Below are 16,686 nucleotides of genomic sequence, written 5' to 3' on the forward strand. Positions count from 1 at the left end.
GGAAGGTTCTGAGGGAGGGCGGCTCTGCCACAGTTTCTCCTGCCATCTTCCTCTCCCCTGCCCCCTTGGATCCTTGGAGATGAAGGGGATGCGACAGAGTGGCCCACCTCACTGGAGAATTCTCTCCACTTGGGCTCCAGGATTCATAGGTACTGGGGGAAAGCGGAACTTCTGAGTTCCAACCATGAGCCTTGTTATTCTCCTCTGTAGAGTGGGTATTGGGGAGAGTGAAGATGGGGGTATTTGTCTCTATCAGGCCTTCTGGTCTCACTTAAGAGTCCTTCTGAAGTGTTTTTCTTTCTTTCCACTTAAATCCCAGGCTCTCAGAAGCTCTTATAATGATTCTTGGAGCTCCTATATCACTCCCCCTCAGTCCAGCTCCCTTCTCTGGTGAGCCAAGGGTCACCAAATCCTCCCTGCCATTCTCTCTCTGCTTCCCCTGGCAGTTCTTGGAGATCTTGGCCAGGAGCCTCGGCTCTGCAGGTCCCGGCGCCCTCCCTCTGAGGTGCCATTCCTCCCCTGCCTCATTTGCTGCCACTGACCTTACTGAGTTAAATTAAAAAGCAATGTTCTGTGTGCGGCTCCAGCCCTGTGGAGCTTGACTCTGGGAAGACGAAGACAATTACTGGCCCCTCCATCTCCCTCTCATCTGGCTGCCTTATAATTTTTCCCCCCGCTGCCTGGTATGCAACATTTATGTTTTTAATAACACCAGAATGGTTTTGACCTTGGGAATTCATAGCAGAATGGGCACTGCAAGAGGCCCCGACGTGATTGGCGTTTGTCTCAGTCCTTTGCAGGGACAAGACTCTGGTGCCTCCTGGATTCTGGGGAAGGTGTGTAGGGGCTGCACCCCATGCGGTTTAAGAAGAAATCTCAAAAACCAGAGTGGACAAGGACATGGGAAGGGGGGAAACAGAGGGGGAGGGTGTTGTCTTTTTAGGTTTCCCCTGGAGGATGAAAGTTAGAATAAGGTGTTTGAGAGGTTGGGATGTTTTTCTCCTCTTGTTTTATAGGAGGAATCCTAGATTGGGGATGGCATGGAATACGTGTGTGTGGGGGGGCAATGGGGAAGGGGTGGTGTGTGATGCAAGTGTATACACACACTCAGGCCATCAGTGCACAAGCTTGCACATATACCCCCGACACAATTGGATCCATTTCTCCTCATTTACTCTCAGCTTCTCTAGCTCTTTAGCTTCAAGGAGAGTAGATAAAATGAGGACTAGCCAGAGGACTGAGGTCAGACTGTAAGTAGAACTTACCAGCTGAGAGTAAAGGGGGCAGGGACAGAGTCCTCTTCTGGCTTGTAGACAGATTTTCTTCCCAATCCCTCCTACCTTTCTTCCTTTCTCTTTTCTATGCCTACCTCCCTGGGTGGCTCAGCTTTTGAGATGAAAGGAGAACCAGTGGCAGCAAGAAGAATCTGGAGGAGGCATGGGTTGGTCAGCAGAGGGACGGGAGAGGCAAGAAGCAGTGGTGGGACCAGCTGAGGGGATGCCTGGGAAGAGAGAGCTGAAGATCACGTGCAGGCCCTCTCCTCCAGGTGTAAAGGGCTGTGGTAAGATGGACCAAGGTTAGAACTGGGAAAGGGCTTCTGTGTCTACAGCTTTGAGGAGTTTCTGGAACTCCAGTGAAAAGGCCAAATTATAAATGAAGAGAAGCTTCTTTTGCAGTTCAGAAAGTAGGAAGAGAAGGGACAGAGGGCCATGTACCTGAGGATGAGGGGTGCACAGCCAGGTAGCTACAGCACACATCTGTGTCCTGGGTTAACAGTCTTGTATGCACCAGTTCCATATGTAAACATATGGAACACAGTAGCTTTGGCATTGATTGTTTAAGCCAGGGATTTGAGATGCTGTCTGGTTGTGGCCTGTAGGGTATGGTTTTATTTCAGGAGCTGCAGCTGACACAATGGGAAGACCCCTGCGCAGAGAACCAAGAAGTCGTGGGTTCTAGTTCTAGCTCCAGTTATCAGCTGGGACCCTAGGGAATGTCACGGAGGAGCGTGGGTGTCATCTGCTATACCATGAAGGAAAAGCCACAGGGTCCTTCTGTGCCAGCAGCCCCAGTGCTAGGAGAACGAGAAATGGAAGGGAGGCTGAGGAGGGCGATGGCATTTCAGGGACTAGAGAGCTTGAGAAGGGATGCAAGGATTCCTGAATTCTGAAATTCATGGGTTTTTGCTCGAGCTAAAGACGTCCCCGGCCTAGGGCAGCCCAGCCTGGCCTTGCCTGGATTCCAGACAGCATCCAGGGCCGACGTCTGGATCTGTAGGGAGCGCTGTTCTCTGCCGCCCTCCTGTGGCCGCTGAGCCCTTCGCAGATCGCTGCTGAGAAGATTCCGCTCCTCCGCAGAGCCGCGTTCCTCGCCCCCTGGTGGAAATTGCGTATATTACAAGAAGCGATCTTGGGTTTCTAGCCGCAGCTTTCCCCCAACAGTTTCCCTAGTTTTGGAGGCATTCACAACCTCTTCAAAGCTGGGAAGGTCTTCCGGAGATTTAACACTCTATACCTTTGCCTGAAGTTTTAAGTTCTGGTTTTGGAAAGTGGATAGTGGAGACAAGGGGCCGAGATTGAACAGAGGGCAATTTCTCTTCTTCCTCTTTGGGTTTCAGCCTACAACCCTGTATTCCTAGGGTCACTCAGAGTTTTAAAATCAGGGTCTGGTGACATTCCTGGAGAAAATGGATCTGGAGCAGACCAGGCATTGTGCTTCTGGGCTTCTTGGAAGTTGCACCTGAGCGCAGTCCGTCAGTGTCGGCAGGGAGATGGATTGGCAGGAGCCAGGAGGCAGGAGGCAGGCATGATGGAGGGAGATGGCATATTTGACAGATGCTGACAGGGCTCGTTATTTGCTAGCTTTGGAATCCCCTCCCACCCACCAGGCTGCCCTTGGCCCTCCCCTCCCTGCACTCAATGCTCATTAGTGATTGCCTGTCTTTGGGGGAGAAACCCAGTGGGCCAAGCTCCGTGGGGGTGGGCAAGGGAGGGAGAGGAAGAGGAAGAGGAAGGGGCAGGGACACAAGGCAGATGCTGGATAAGTCGTGGTTGGAATGACTGGGATTTGGAGCTGAGATTTGATGATTACTGGGATGCTTGGCAGGTGTAGCTGGGGATATTGTCCAGGGGCCAGATACTGAGTTACTGGGGGTGGTGGGTCGGGAGGCATATTAAAAGGAATTGAGTTCCACTGATTTAGGCACTGATTTGGGGAGAACTGATAAAATAGGAGCTGACCATTTTACTGGGGACTTACTATGTACAGGGTAGGTCTACAGGTGCTATGAGGGGATAAAAGACGCACTCCACCTATTTCCTGCTCCCCTTCCTGTGTTTTGAGACCTGCCACATCTCCCTGCACTTGTTGCTCCATGTGTGTCTGAGGGGTGCAAGGTGCTGCCGGGCTGGGGATGTGGAGACAACTCTCCCAAGCAGTTTGTGACCTTCCCACACCCCCTTCCAGTAAAGCTCCTCCAGTCGGCTTCCCACCTCTCCTCATTCCTTTTCTCTTAGAATGTACAAGACATGTAGATATCTGGGTGGGAGAGGGGGCCCTTGGGTGCCCTCCCAGAATTTCCAGTGGCTCCCAGTGGAGGAACTGGGTTGGGGGCAGTGGTAAGCCATACTATCCCGAGAGGCCAGGGGAGCAGGCAGGGAGGGGATCTCCATTTGGAGTGTGGAGAATGTTCGATGAGGAGGAGAATGCTGCAGTCAGAGACCGCGCTGCATCCTAATCAGCGCTGCGGAGGCTGCACCGCGGGCCGTCAATCTTCCACACAAAGGGCCGCCCGCCCTCTTCCCTCTCCAAGCCCTCCGCGCCAGCGCCCCCCCAACTCCATCCCCAACACTGCGGGGCAGGAAAAGAGGCAGAGAAGGGGGGAGATGACGGACACACAGACAGGGACAGAAAGACCCAGTAAATTGAAGCCAAGATGGACAGAGTGGGACCCATAAGGCAGAGTGGGTCCCAGCACTCTGGAGATGAAGAGAGACGGACAGAGGGAACAGAGACACTGCCGAGTGGAAAGGGAAAGACAGAGGAGAGACAGACCTAGAGACAGGACAGAGCCAAGACAGAGGAGCATCCAGAGAGCAGACAGAAAGATCGAAGACTCACACAAGGCCAGAGCCACCCAGAAACCAGCCATAGCAGAGCAGTCACGGACACAGAGGCATGAGAAGGTCCCAGGCCCAGGGAGAAACTGAAAGCCATGTACCCCGAGCCAAAGGCACACTGACCCAGGGCCAGGACCAGGGCCAGGGCCAGGGCCGATAATATACCAGAATGTATCAGTAGACTGAGAGAAGCAGAGAAGGGGAGGGAGAAGATGGGTTTCCAAGGAGAAAGGAAATGAGAGTGATGGTGGGGAGGCAGTAAGAAGGGTCAGGTAGAGGTTGCAGGGGGTGAGATGGGGATTCTGGGTTGAGGGCTCTGCTGGCCTTCCAGGGCCTGGGACTCAGGTGGGCGGGGAGGCCTATATGTGTGAGTGTGTATGGGTGTGTGTGTGTTGTGTGTGTGTGTGAGCAGGAACCTGGCAATTCCAAGCTCTTCAAAATGCCAGAGTTGTCTGGTGCTGAACCAGACAGCCACACACCCTCCCTCTGCATGGACAGCTTGGAGCAGTTATGGTGGGGTGTAGGGGAGAGAACAGAAGAAAGATGGAAGTTAGAGAAAGACTGAGAAAGAAAAAGAATGGCAGAGCCCCAGCAGAGATCAAGGGGAGAGAAAATGATATTGAAAAAGGGAGTAGAGAAATTGGCAGAGGACAGTCAGAGAAAGACAGAGGTGGAGAAAGAAATATGATGGAGGCAAGAAGTGTGTGTGTGTGTGTGTATATATATATATAAAAGACAGGGAGCAGAGAGTGCCTCTAACTGCAGGAGGGCGAGAGGGGCACGGAGAGAGAGGGGGCTGTTGAGAGGGAGGCAGACTAAGGGGAAATGGGGAGGGAAGGCAGGCAGGGCACCTATCTACCTGGAGATGCTGGGCTGGAATCAACCCAGCATCATGTTTACCTGATGAAACAACCCTGCAGTGAGTTGGGGAGGCAATCAATGAGTTTTTCTTTCTTTCTTTTTTTTTAGGGTGACCCTGTCATTTTCTTTAAGTACAAAGAACCTATTCCAATGCATGCTATCTCCTTTAACATAGCAGGTTTCAGCAACTGCTGCAGGTGCCTGGGTCATTCCTGGCAATTTCTCTTTGGGGATCACCTTTAGAGCCTGCAGTATAGCTCTGAGCATCTGCACCAGAGGCAAATTTGTATCCTTTAGGGGTAGATCTAATTTTTGAAAACAGCCTAAGTGTTAGCAATCAAGGCTGGAGAGTCAGGTGAGGACCCAGCTGGGGAGCAGTATTTCCAGTTAAAAAGAAGGTGAAAATGGGAAGACATAGAGGAGGGTGTGCCCTCCTCCAAAGTGGCTCTGAAAGGCAATCCTGAAGGGGAACCTTGCAAGATATGACAGAAGGAGATCTTCCAGTGGCTGCTTGAGGGCCAGTTTCATTTTTCTGTCTATTAAAACTGGGCAGTAATGTTCCCAGGAGCATTCACAACCTGGCACTGGAGGGATGAGGCCTGGCATCTGATGATCTTGGGCACAGTGGTGCTGGCCTTGGGGATCTTACAGTCATCCTCCCTGCCAACATTATGTTTATAGGTGCAAAGTTACCCCGTTGACATTCACCACAGCAAAGATCAACAAGTGCAAATGACTAGGGCAAATTCAGAATCCAAGCCAGTTAGTTCATCAGGGAAGGCTGCTAGGAGTGGGGGAGTTAGAGAGGTGTGCAAAGAGAAACCCAACAGGGCATGCAATAGATTAGGAGAAGAGCAGGAGTACCTCTGGCTGATGGTGCTGAGGCAGGTGAGCAAACCACAAATGAGGCTGTGGACAGCTTTGCTAGCCTGGAGCAACGAGCTGGATTCAGGAACCAGCATGAAGGGGAATGGAAGGGGGCAGGTTTTGAAGTCAGGCTGGGTGATCTGAATTTGCTGAGAGAAACTGGGGCCCAATGGGGATGCACTAACGTGTCAGGTAGAGTGTGTGAGTGTGTGTGTGTGTGCACTCACACTTGTCTGGATAGGTGTGTACTTAAGTTTGCATGTTTTTTTCTGTGTGCGTGTGTAGGGGCATATACATCCAGGTGGCTTTGTGCCATGTGGCTTTGTACCCCAGGCTCTTGTCTATCCATCTGTGTGACTGGCATGTGGCTATGCCTGAATGCGTTTGTTCATTTGTGTGTTTCCATGTGGTCATGTGCGAATGGTATCTCAGTTGCTTTTTGTGTATTTTACTTGGCTACGTGTGGCGAAGGGCAGCGTGTGTGTTTTGCGCGCGTGTGTGTGTGCGTGCTCGTGTCTGCAGGAGGAGTGGGGCCGGCAGGGAGCCCTGGCTACCCAAGCATTGCCGTCTGTCTCTCTCCCTCCACTGGCTCCATCTGCCGTCGCTGAGGTCGTGACAAGGAGGCAAACAGCAAAACGGCAAACAGCTACGGCGGGAGAAACAAGAACATTGTAAGCCCCGCGCAGACTGTCCCTGTGGAGGAGAAAGGCACATGAGCAGCCAAAGGGACGGACACTCACACACACACACACGCACACACTCACTCCTGCGCACACAGGCTGCTCCGCGGACACGCTTCACGGAGCAGGTGTGCCCACGCGCAATACCCTCCTGGCCCACAGGCCTCCGCACGCACAGGACACACACACACACTCTCTCCTGGCCTCCCTCCCGCCGCCCCTCCTCTGAGCCCTGCGGCCCGGCCTTCCGCACCTCCCAACGCCTGCAGGGGTTGGGGGCGCTGGGGCTCGGGGCGCTCACTCGGACCTCGGAGCCAATCGCCAGAGATCTAATGGCTCCTTTGGCAGTGGGAAGGGGTGTGCGTGGGTGTCCTCTCCTTCACTCTTTCCCCAGCCCTGTCGCCTCCCACCCCCCTTCCGGCCGCGGCAGTTTCCGAAATCGCCCGGCGGCCGCGAATTCATTAGTGGGGGGCGGATGTAAACGCAGCGCGGTGGAACGTTTTAATTAGGCCTGAACAATAAACAAGCTAAACGAGGCGCGCAGGACTCCCTGGTGGGCCCTCAGCCTCCTCCGCGCGGCGCGGACTCATTACGGCTGCAGCCAATTTCATGCCAGCGCCGAGCACTGGCTGGGCCGGGAGTGGGGTCGGGGGTGCGTGCGGGTGCGATCCGGGCCTGCAGGGTGCGGAGCGGGGGCGTCCCGGGGCGAGGGCAGCGGGCCGGTTCCCGCCCGCCCGGGGCCGCGGCTTCCGCATTTCTGCACCATCCACCTGCCTTTTTCAGTGTCCTTGAGATGACGCTCCCTCCCCACACCAGAGCGGCCGGCTGGAGAGTCTAGCTTGCTTTTTAGGGTCTCTCTCCCGCCTCTTTTCCTCCCCCGCTCCCTCTCTCCTTGCGGCTGACTCCAGCTCCCCCTCGGTGCCCGTAACCCTCCTTTCCTCTTTTTGCCGCAGTCTCCGTCTCTCTTCCACAGGGTCTCTCCCTCCCCCTCTCCCCGTGGTTGTCAGACTTTCTCCTGGACTTTCTCCGCCCCGCACCGCCCGCCCCGGATGCCGAGCGTGGTAGACTCTGCAGCCGGGCTCCTCGCTGCCCGCTGGCGCTGCCTACACCCCCTTGGGCTCCCCTCCAAGGTCCCCTCCGCTCGCCCCTCTCTGCCCGCTGCCGCCGCCGCCGCCGCCTTCCAGGCCTCTCTCCACCCTCTGTCTCTTTCTGCCTGGGTTCTTCCTTTGGGCCGTCTACCCTCGGGTTTCAGGTTGGGCATTGCTCCCGCACCCTACTAATTGGGGCTCTTCTGGACCGATCCAACCAGCGAAGTCGAATTTGGCTCGTGTCCTTCTCTCCCTTTTTTGCGAAGCTGCAGACACTGCTTGCTGGCCCTCCGGCTCTGCCGGGACTTCCCTGGTTCTAGGTGGCGGTGGGTCTGTGGCTAAGTTTGAATCCCAGCCCTGGGCCTCACCATGTGAGTCTTAACCTGGGCTTGCTCAGCTGTAAAATGTAGGAAATAATTTTAGGTGCTTCATGTTGTGGGAATTAGCGCTGTGATAACGAATGTAACATGCTTGGCACATGGGACTTAGTCTATTAGCTCTTCCCTTCTGCCTTTCCTCAATCTGCTCCTCTCCCTAGCCTGGAGCTTTCTTAAAGGGTTTTGAGGAGAGAAAAACCAAGGTCACAGACTTTATAGGCCCCCCAAAATTGAATATCAGAAATTGTAAATGGTTCAACCTAACAAATGCACTAGGCTCTGATTGCAAGAAGTGCTGCTGAGTGTGTACAAGAAGGGAGGACCGGGATTGGACTGAACTGCAGAACAAAGGAAACCATGTGGACTGGCACACTGGACTGAGCAAATTAAAACCTAAGGGACACGTCAACCCGCATTAGTCCTGCCTCAGCAGTATGGCTGCCCTCTTAGGGCTGCAGAGTCATGGGACTGTGTCCTCTTGGGGGCTGCAGTGGATCTAGGAGTCCAGCTCCCCCAAGACTCCTGCACCAAGGCAGGAACCAGACTCCTAGAACCTCATACCATCATACTTCTCTCCCATCTATACATCACACACACACACACACACACACACACACACACACACAGAGAGAGACACACGTGTCCTTTGAGATTTTTAAAGGAAAATTACAAAGTGTGGGCCTGGAATTCTGTCTCTGCTTCAGTTTCTTTCCCTAGTTCCCTCCTGACTCCTAAGAAGCAGAATCAGCGAGTCGCACACCTTCCCCTGTGTGTGCTGCCCATTGTATTGGGCACTGAGGGGAGATCCAGAGGGAGGAGCACAAATCCTGCCCTGCTGGAACTCCTAGGCTCATGGTAAGATGAGGCTGGTCGTCAAGACCAACCAAGAGGCATGGAGCTCTGGGCATGCCCTCAACAAAGGCTTATCAGTTGAGTTGGTCAGGAGCAGCTGGAACAAGTCCTGTGACTCTGGCACTGGGGAGACCAGGAATGACCAAACAAGAAAGGGTGGAGGAAGATCTGAAGGAAGTCTAGGAGGGTTCCTAGAGGATAGGGAGAATGGTATTCATTTAGTTAGCAGGGAGCAGCAAAACTGAAAGAAGAGAACTAGCAAGTTAGAGCTCTCAGTGAAGTGCATTATCTTGGGGTAAGGGATGGCTAATGTGAACCTTGGAGGCAGATGGGGAAGGAATGCATAGGGGTGTGTGTGTGTGTGTGTGTGTGTGTGTGTGTGTGTGTATGTGTGTGTGTCTGTGTGTTGGGGCATATGTACTGAGGAGACCGAGGCAGGGAGGATGCAGGGCTTGGGAGGGCAGGTTTGCTGGGCTGCAGCAGAGAGCCTGGGCTGAGATGTTCTTGAAGACACCTGGGATAGGATAGCAGTGGTGGTAGAGGTATAGGACAGCAATGTAAAATGTCCTGCTGTTGTAGCTCTACCGTGACCCTGGGCTGGGTAGGCAAGAAGCTAGGAAGCCAGGCTGACTTCCTGGGCCCTGATATGTCCTCGTGGGGCGTGAAGATGAATGAGTCTGTATTTCATGGGCTAGTGAACCATGGCTAGGTGGAGACATCTGCTCAGGCTATGAAATGTAGGGAGAGGCCTCCAGAAGTCCCCAAACACAAAGAGGGAGGAGATAGAGGTGGGGATGGGGATGGATAATGGGAAGATGGAAGGCTTGAGACCTCTTTCCTGGCTATCTCCTTTACTCACTCCTTTCATGGATTGAATTATTCATTTTAAAGCTAAAAAATCTTCAACAAATTATCTAGTCTAGACTTTCACCTTCAAAGGGTTCGATATTACTTCCCCATTTCACAGATGAGGCTACACAAGTTAACCAACTTGATCGAGATCTCCCAGGCAGAACAGGTTGAAAAGGGCATGAGGAAGAAGGTCTTTCGCCCTGGGTAGGGGAGATGGGGGTTAATCTCTCTCTATGCAATCAGGCTCTAAAATTGGCTGCTTCCCGGAACAGAAACGGCAGGAGTTGGCATCAGAATGCAGCAACTTGATTCCTGGCTACTTACCAGTTCCGTGACCTGAGGCAAGTTACTTAACCTCTCTGTGTCTTTATTTTATTATCTATAAAATGACAACACTAATACTTGCTCCCGTGGCTTGTTACTGAGAATAAAATGAGATTTATGCAAAAAGAACTGTGTACAGTTGAATCTAAGTTTATTAGGCTTTAAAAATCATCCTCCTCTTTGATATCATCCCAGCTTATTCTCTTCATACCTGCTAGGGACATCAGTCTTCCTCCTCCCAACCCCTTTGCACTCTCTCCAGCCTCTCAACCTGGCATTTACTTCCCTCTGATCTTGCTTCATACTTTCAATCTCTGTTTTCACTCTCCTGTGCATGTTTCAGCACTAAAAGGATCTGTTTACACTCTACTGATTTATATGCTGAATTTTTTTTCTCTGCTTTGGTTTCTTGTCTTTTGTGTCTTCCTTCTCACATCCCAGAGAGCAAGACCCTGTCCTCTCCTGCCTTTGCACTCCTTCCCTCTCTCCAGGACTGGGTTCATAGGGTGCGTCCAAATAATGGACACGAGGTGCAGAGAGGTTAAGATAAAACAGGAGAGGGAGGGCTTGGAGAGAAGCCACCAAGCTGCATGCAGGGCTCTTAACCACATGCTATGTGATCCTTGAGCAGGGCATTTGCCAAGATCTGGAGAGGGAAACAATCATCTTCCTTCTGGAGTGAAGGGTGGGACGGGAGTTATTTTCCTAATATTTAGAGAGGCTGTTTTGTCCCACGATGTGAGACACATCACCTGGAGGCCAATCCCCTAGAAAAAGAATAGCAGTTGAGAGACGGCTTTCCTTTTCCTGTTTGGGGTGTGTGTGTGTGTGTGTGTGTGTGTGTGTGTGTGGTAGGAAATGTGTTGTTGGAGATTCTATATCATTTCATTTTCCCTAGCATTTACCAACCCTAACTCAAAGGAAATCCTTTCTAAAGTCTATTCTACATTTCTTTTGCTGACAGTAAGCCCACCTCTTTAGTGGAGGTATTATCTAAAGTCCAGGATCTGGCTCAATGTCTTTTGTAAAAGATGTGTGTATGTCGGGGAGGGGAAAGTAAAAGATGGAACTTGAAGAAATGGAATGACCCAGCTCCTGGCTTTAATTACAGTAAGCCCTGAACATTCTGAACTTTATTAACCTCTTAAGTGTCCACAGGGGTGGGATGGACCTGGTGGGTTTTGCTCCCTGGTCCTCTCTGCAGGGCGTCTCTGGAGGGTCCCCTCTCTACGCTCTTTGCCCATCCCAGCCTTTGGCTGCACACCATTTCTCCTGGCCTCAGGTGGCGCTATAAATCACCTCTCCCAGAAAGGAGGCTACCACCTACCTATCCAGTCCATGTCTCACCAGCTGTCTTCATCTTGCCCAAGATCCTCTGGTTCTTTCTTCTCTGCAAATCCCATATGCTTTCCCCAGCACCAGTTTTTTGGATAACCTGATTAGCTGTTTTGGAGAGAGGGGCTCTTTTTGCAGGGACCCCTTTCTCCTCCTAAGTGTCTTACTAATTACAAACAGAGAAAGCCTGGTCTGTGAAGTTAGCCTGCCCCCAGCTCCCTGGCTTGGTGGAGGGAACCAGGAGCTAGGGGATTTAAAGCGCAATTTCCTGTGGCCTTTTCATTTCCTGCTGGGGGTTGTGGAGAGCAATAAGCAAGGTGGGTGGCAAGGGCCAGAAGGACCGGCCAGGTGGGGGATGGGCTGGGGGAGCCTTCCCTCCATGTACTCTTCTACCATCCCCTTTTCTGGCTCTCGAGGTAAGTTCTTTGGGGATGAAGCACCTGATAAATGAGGACCTGGAACTCCTTACAATCTCCCTCTTACCTCCCCAAAGTAAGAGAACGGAGTAGAGAGGAGTGGGAAAAGATCTGATTATTGTAATAATAGATGATACCACAGGAAGGAACCTTGGAAATCAGTTGGATCCCTTGAGGTTTTATTTTATTTTAAATAGAGATGGGGGTCTTGCTATGTTGCTCAGGCTAGGCCTTGAAATCCTGGGCTCAGGCGATCCTCCTGCCTCAGCCTTCCAAAGTGCTGGGATCACAGACGTGAGCCACTGCACTTGGCCTCTTTCAGGTTTCAGATGAGGAAATGGAGGCCTTGGAGAGGGCAGGTAACCTGCTCAAGGTTATGTATGTAAGTGGTGAGCTGGTGTGGCTGGGATTTAGCTAACTCTCATGATTCACTGTTTAGTGCTCTTTCCTCAGTCAGAGTCAGAGTGGGCTGTGGGTCAGTGATGTGTGTGTGTGTGTGTGTGTGTGTACTGGGGAGGGGGGATGAGATGGGAGGAAGTGGGGTAGGGAGCAGGGGATCTGGGGAGGTACCTGGATAGCAGGGGACTCCGGGTCCTGAAATGTTCACTCTTTGGTAGGTCCTGTGGAAGAGCGCAGGCAAGTCCTGACTTAGGGAAGCTTTTGTGAGCTGGCTCAGGAAACAGATGTGTGGATAAAAAGGAGGGGAGAGGGAGGAACTGTGGCCCTTGGAAACTATTAGCCCAACATCTCTTCTTCCCCTCTCCACAGTCAGAGGTGGATGAGGTGGGGGAGGGGCATGGCAGAGGACAAAGGAGCCAATTATTGAGTGAGTGGATTAATTGATTAATTGTCCAGAAGCTTCCAGTGCTCCCCAACAATGACATCCCCTCCCCCGACCCCAGTCAGGCATGGCCTCGGTTGGCCTGGATTATTAATTAGGGCTTGAAGTCATTTAACGATGATTTCATTATCGACGTGCTGTCTGTCTCGGGCTCAGCCCGGTTGCCAGGGCGACTCTGATCGATTGCCTTCCGGTCTTCTTGGCTTGGCCGGCTGCTTCCTTTCTGGAGCCTGGCTGTTGGCGAGCACTCCCTAGCGGCCCTCTCTGGTACTGCAGAGCTTCCCGGTTGCAGGCTTGAGAGACTCAGGCGAGGAACAGAGAGCTACAGCTGCCTTGGGGGTCTTTTCAGCTACTGACTGACCTAGCTGTTGCCTGGGAACCGGCTTTTCTCCTTTTCTCCTAGGTTGTGAAGTCCTTCTGATTCTGTCCCCTGGCCTTCTACCCATACCCCTTTGGGATGGGTGTAGGAATAGGTAGGGACCTCAGTTGTTTCCTCGCAGCCTTTCAATTTACCTCTGGGAGGCCCAGATAAGCTGTGATAAAGTTATTCCTGCTGCTAAGGAGACTCCTTAGGCTCTGTCTATCCTGGGACATCTGGCCTCTTGGACCTTGCATGAGGCTGGCAGGGAAGGAGTGGATGTGGGGATAATTTCCCCTTAGATTGCCTGAGTTAATGTTCTTAGGGTCTTCCCCGGCCGTGAGAGGAGCTGGGGGAGCTGGTCTTTGCAGAGCTCAGCTACTTCCTCAGCCTCAAGAAAGCCTGGGGAAAAAAGGCAGGGTCCAGGTTGTCATGCTAAGTCTTAGGTCTTCAGAAACTTGGCTGGTTACTCTATCTGTGGTCCCTGAAAACCTAGATTCATGCACATTCAGTGGTCTCAGGATCTCTACTCTATGCCTCAGTTTCTCCTTTCATGGGTTTCATGTATATATTTGTGGGGTCTGTTAGTAGAGAGTTGCTTGAAGGCATCGGTCATGGCTTCTCAGTAGGTGTCTAAATTGTTGACCCCAAAGTAATTGGGCGTCACTGGTGTCTTATCTCCCTTATCCTTTGCATGCTGCTAATTTTATTCTCAAATGCAGATCTCTCCTCAGTCCTTACCTCTCTTTACTCCTCTCCCCTTGACCCCTGACCAAAGACTGTCCCCAGCACCCTCCCCAGAACATGCCTCCCTTGCCTGCCTTCCTCTATTTCTCCTCCTCCTCTGCCCCACTTCCCCTTCTACTGGTTGTGCCAGGCTGCGTTAGCTCTGAAAAATTAAGAGCTGGGCTTCAGTCCTCTCTGGACTGCAGCATTTTTGGGGACAGGGAGGCAGGTTGGGTTGTCATGTCCATGTAGGGGTCTCTGCGAGCCCCCCAGGTTGGCTCTGGGAGAGAGCCTCAGCATATCAGCTTTCTGAGCACATCCGCCACTGAGCAGCACCTGAGAGGGGAAGCGGCTCAGCAGCGAGCTGAGTGAGATTGAAGAGGATCATAAAGAAAATATATATCCCCCTCCCTGGCCTCACTCCCTCCTCCTGCTCCACACTTGCCTCCTTCTCTCTCTTTGTCTCACTCCCTCCCCCCTTTTCACTGCAACCCTGTTTTCTTTGTTCCTTCTTTGCCTCCGTCACCCTCACCTCTGTCAGGCAGGTCTGTCTGTCTGTCTGTCGGCCATTCTGTCTATCTCCTTGACTCCACATATTTTTTGGTCTGAGTTTTTCTAGGACTGTGTCCGCCGTCAGCCTTTCTCTCTCCCTCCCCGCTTCCCTCCCTCAGTCTGGGAGGGTCTCTCATACCATCATGTCTTTATGAGTTTCACTGTGTGTGCCTTTTAGTCTCTCCATCCACCTCCCCTCCCATCTGTCTCGTTTGGCTGTCTCCCCATCGCTCTTCGCATCTCTCTTCCCATCTCTTGCCCTCCCTTTCATCTCTCCTTTTTGCTTCTCTTCTCCCTGTCTCTTTCAGCGTCTTCTCCTCTCTCTGGCTCACACCTCTGCCTGCCTCTCATCCTCCCCACTCCCACCCCTCAAGGTTCAGATACTTCATGCGAAATCACCTGGATGGGCTCCAACTGTCAGGGTCCCCCATTCTGTACCCCCTTCTCCCAGGGCGATTTACAGCCCCAACTCGGCATCTTCTGCATTCCCCCCAGCCCTGGGCCAGTTCTTTTCATTACCTGGTGATTATCTGGGGGCCCTGGCATTTCCCCCAGCCTCCCACCCTCTACCCAGCAGGCAGTGAACAGCATAGGGAGAAAGGAGAAGGGATTGCTCTTGGGACCAGAGGCAAGGACATGGAGACCCTCCCCCTGTGCCGCCCTTCTTTCCCTCAAGCAGATGCACATCTGGGAAAATCCCAGCTTGAGGCAGGGGAAGACAGCTTAGGACTGTTGGAGCAGACATAAATCAAGCACCCAGATGCCCCTCCCCTACTGTTCTGTCATTAGAGCCATCCTTCCAATTCCTGCCTGTCTCCTTTGCCTCTAGGCATCCTGGCTCTATAGTCTTGACTGGGGCCACTCATCCACTACCCAGCGTAGTGCCAGGCTCAAAGGAGGTGCTCAGTTAATGCCCTTGGTCCATGTCTAATAGAGAAGCACTATCGCAAAGTCAATGTGATGTTTAGGTTTTTCTCAGTTGGCAATTCTTTGTGAGATCTGGAGCAATTCTCTCTGCTTTAATTCCAATATTATGTCTTAGTATATAATTAGTATAGACTCTACTTCCAGAGTCTTGCCTCTACCCTTCTCCTCCCCTCTCTCGCCTCCACCCCAGTCTTTCTTTCATCTCATTTAGGGTGTAGAGGATTAGCAGCCCTATTGAGTCAAGGCAGCAGTACTCCTTTCCCTTGAGACCAGTGGCTTCTTGAGCTGATCACTTGTCCATTCAGCCCTTAGTCTCTATGCCGACTCCACCTATTCCGTCCCTGGGAGTCCAGTCTCGTCTGTTTGAAGATTGACATCAGGGAAAGAGGAGATACCTTCCTTTGGTCACCTGTTTCAGGGCCTTGGAAGCCCTACTGTTTGAATATCTCCATTCCAGAGAGCAGGAAACTCTGTAGGCAGGGACTATATCTTTTTCATCTTTATTTCCTCCATCACAATAATCAATGAGTAGTCAGTTAACATATGCTGTGAATGATGAATGACTGTCTTAGGAGGTCTCCCACAGTGAAGCCTAAACCAGCTCCCTTTTAATTTTATTTCTGGGGTGAGGGACAATGTGGGTAGGGGGGTGAGAATTGGGAGATGATGGTAGAGGAACCCAGTAGGGGTGTTTCGAGAGAGGTTGGGGGCCTGGTGCGTCTATCCTTGTTGAAAGGGCTCCTGAGTGGAGGTTCTTTATCTGGACCTGGGACTGACTCTCATATTTTATTTTATCTTTTTTTTTTTTGAGACAGAATCTCCCTCTGTCGCCCAGGCTGGAGTGCAGTGGCGCAATCTCAGCTCACTGCAACCTCCGCCTCCCAGGTTCAAGCGATTCTCATGCCTCAGCCTCCCCAGTAGCTGGGATTACAGGCATAATCCACACCTGGATAATTTTTGTAGTTTTAGTAGAGACTAAGTTTTGCCATGTTGGCCAGGCTGGTCTCGAACTCCTGGCTTCACGTGATTCCCCCACCTCGGCCTCGCAAAGTGCTGGGATTATAGGTGTGAGCCACCATATCCGGCCCCGATCCCCGTATTTTCACAGGCAAGGCACCAACCCCTTCCCAGCCTCTCCTTCAACCAGTCAGGGCCTCTTCCATATCCAGTACTCCCTTGGCACACATGCTTACTTCAAAATCCATTTTCTGGCCAGGCGCGGTAACTAACTAATGCCTGTAATCCCAGCACTTTGGGAGGCTGAGGCAGGTGGATCACCTGAGGTCAGGAGTTCAAGACCAGCCTGGCCAACATGGAGAAACCCCGTCTCTACTAAAGATACAAAAATTAGTTGGGTGTGGTGGCTCACGCCTGTAGTCCCAGCTACTCGGTAGGCAGAGGCAGGAGAGTCGGGTGAACCTAGGAGGCGGAGGTTGCAGTAAGCCGAGATTGTGACATTGCACTCCAGCCTGGGTGACAGAGCGAGACTCCATCTTAAAAAAAAAAAAAATC

At 52.1% G+C, this 16,686-nt stretch overlaps 2 long non-coding RNA genes across 16 annotated transcripts in view, besides 6 other annotated features; one reads left to right on the top strand and one right to left on the bottom strand.

Annotated features, from left to right (window-relative positions):
* LOC105378250 (uncharacterized) overlaps nt 1-16,686 on the top strand; it is a 158,791-nt gene that overhangs the window by 4,880 nt on the left and 137,225 nt on the right. For 3 of the 10 annotated variants that reach the window (NR_189100.1, NR_189101.1, NR_189104.1), the window contains exon 1: nt 9,855-10,036. The exons of 3 other annotated variants lie outside the window; for them this stretch is intronic. This is a non-coding gene — a long non-coding RNA (uncharacterized LOC105378250). Of the gene's footprint in view, nt 1-9,854; nt 10,037-11,634; nt 11,771-12,798; nt 13,015-16,686 lie in introns of those variants that run through there. 4 more of the 10 variants (NR_189103.1, NR_189102.1, NR_189105.1 and 1 more) reach the window with 2 other exon arrangements.
* CISTR (chondrogenesis-associated transcript) lies at nt 1,864-12,561 on the bottom strand. 6 transcript variants are annotated; one of them, NR_186107.1, is made up of 4 exons: nt 12,341-12,534; nt 11,347-11,462; nt 5,844-6,492; nt 1,864-2,375 (listed from the first exon to the last, which is right to left on the bottom strand). It is a non-coding gene; the product is annotated as a chondrogenesis-associated transcript (long non-coding RNA). The 6 variants fall into 6 exon arrangements; NR_186110.1 differs by lacking the exons at nt 11,347-11,462; nt 12,341-12,534 and adding an exon at nt 7,301-7,506 and having other exon boundaries at nt 1,864-2,074; nt 2,235-2,375; NR_186109.1 differs by lacking the exon at nt 11,347-11,462.
* Nucleotides 3,264-3,792: an enhancer, noted in NCBI's record as "H3K4me1 hESC enhancer chr12:54141521-54142049 (GRCh37/hg19 assembly coordinates)". NCBI's record gives its function as "activates a minimal SCP1, AML or CMV promoter by ChIP-STARR-seq in naive H9 embryonic stem cells {active_cell/tissue: H9 hESC(naive)}" and the evidence as "EXISTENCE:reporter gene assay evidence [ECO:0000049][PMID:30033119]".
* Nucleotides 3,793-4,320: an enhancer, noted in NCBI's record as "H3K4me1 hESC enhancer chr12:54142050-54142577 (GRCh37/hg19 assembly coordinates)". NCBI's record gives its function as "activates a minimal SCP1, AML or CMV promoter by ChIP-STARR-seq in naive H9 embryonic stem cells {active_cell/tissue: H9 hESC(naive)}" and the evidence as "EXISTENCE:reporter gene assay evidence [ECO:0000049][PMID:30033119]".
* Nucleotides 5,881-6,469: an enhancer, noted in NCBI's record as "H3K4me1 hESC enhancer chr12:54144138-54144726 (GRCh37/hg19 assembly coordinates)". NCBI's record gives its function as "activates a minimal SCP1, AML or CMV promoter by ChIP-STARR-seq in primed H9 embryonic stem cells {active_cell/tissue: H9 hESC(primed)}" and the evidence as "EXISTENCE:reporter gene assay evidence [ECO:0000049][PMID:30033119]".
* Nucleotides 7,086-7,355: a silencer, noted in NCBI's record as "silent region_4517". NCBI's record gives its function as "represses an Ori minimal core promoter by ATAC-STARR-seq in GM12878 lymphoblastoid cells {active_cell/tissue: GM12878}" and the evidence as "EXISTENCE:reporter gene assay evidence [ECO:0000049][PMID:35858748]".
* Nucleotides 9,782-9,831: a silencer, noted in NCBI's record as "silent region_4518". NCBI's record gives its function as "represses an Ori minimal core promoter by ATAC-STARR-seq in GM12878 lymphoblastoid cells {active_cell/tissue: GM12878}" and the evidence as "EXISTENCE:reporter gene assay evidence [ECO:0000049][PMID:35858748]".
* Nucleotides 12,921-12,970: an enhancer, noted in NCBI's record as "active region_6429". NCBI's record gives its function as "activates an Ori minimal core promoter by ATAC-STARR-seq in GM12878 lymphoblastoid cells {active_cell/tissue: GM12878}" and the evidence as "EXISTENCE:reporter gene assay evidence [ECO:0000049][PMID:35858748]".

The sequence above is a fragment of the Homo sapiens genome, chromosome 12 (genome assembly GCF_000001405.40).
Source record: "Homo sapiens chromosome 12, GRCh38.p14 Primary Assembly".
In the NCBI taxonomy this organism is placed as follows: domain Eukaryota; kingdom Metazoa; phylum Chordata; class Mammalia; order Primates; family Hominidae; genus Homo; species Homo sapiens.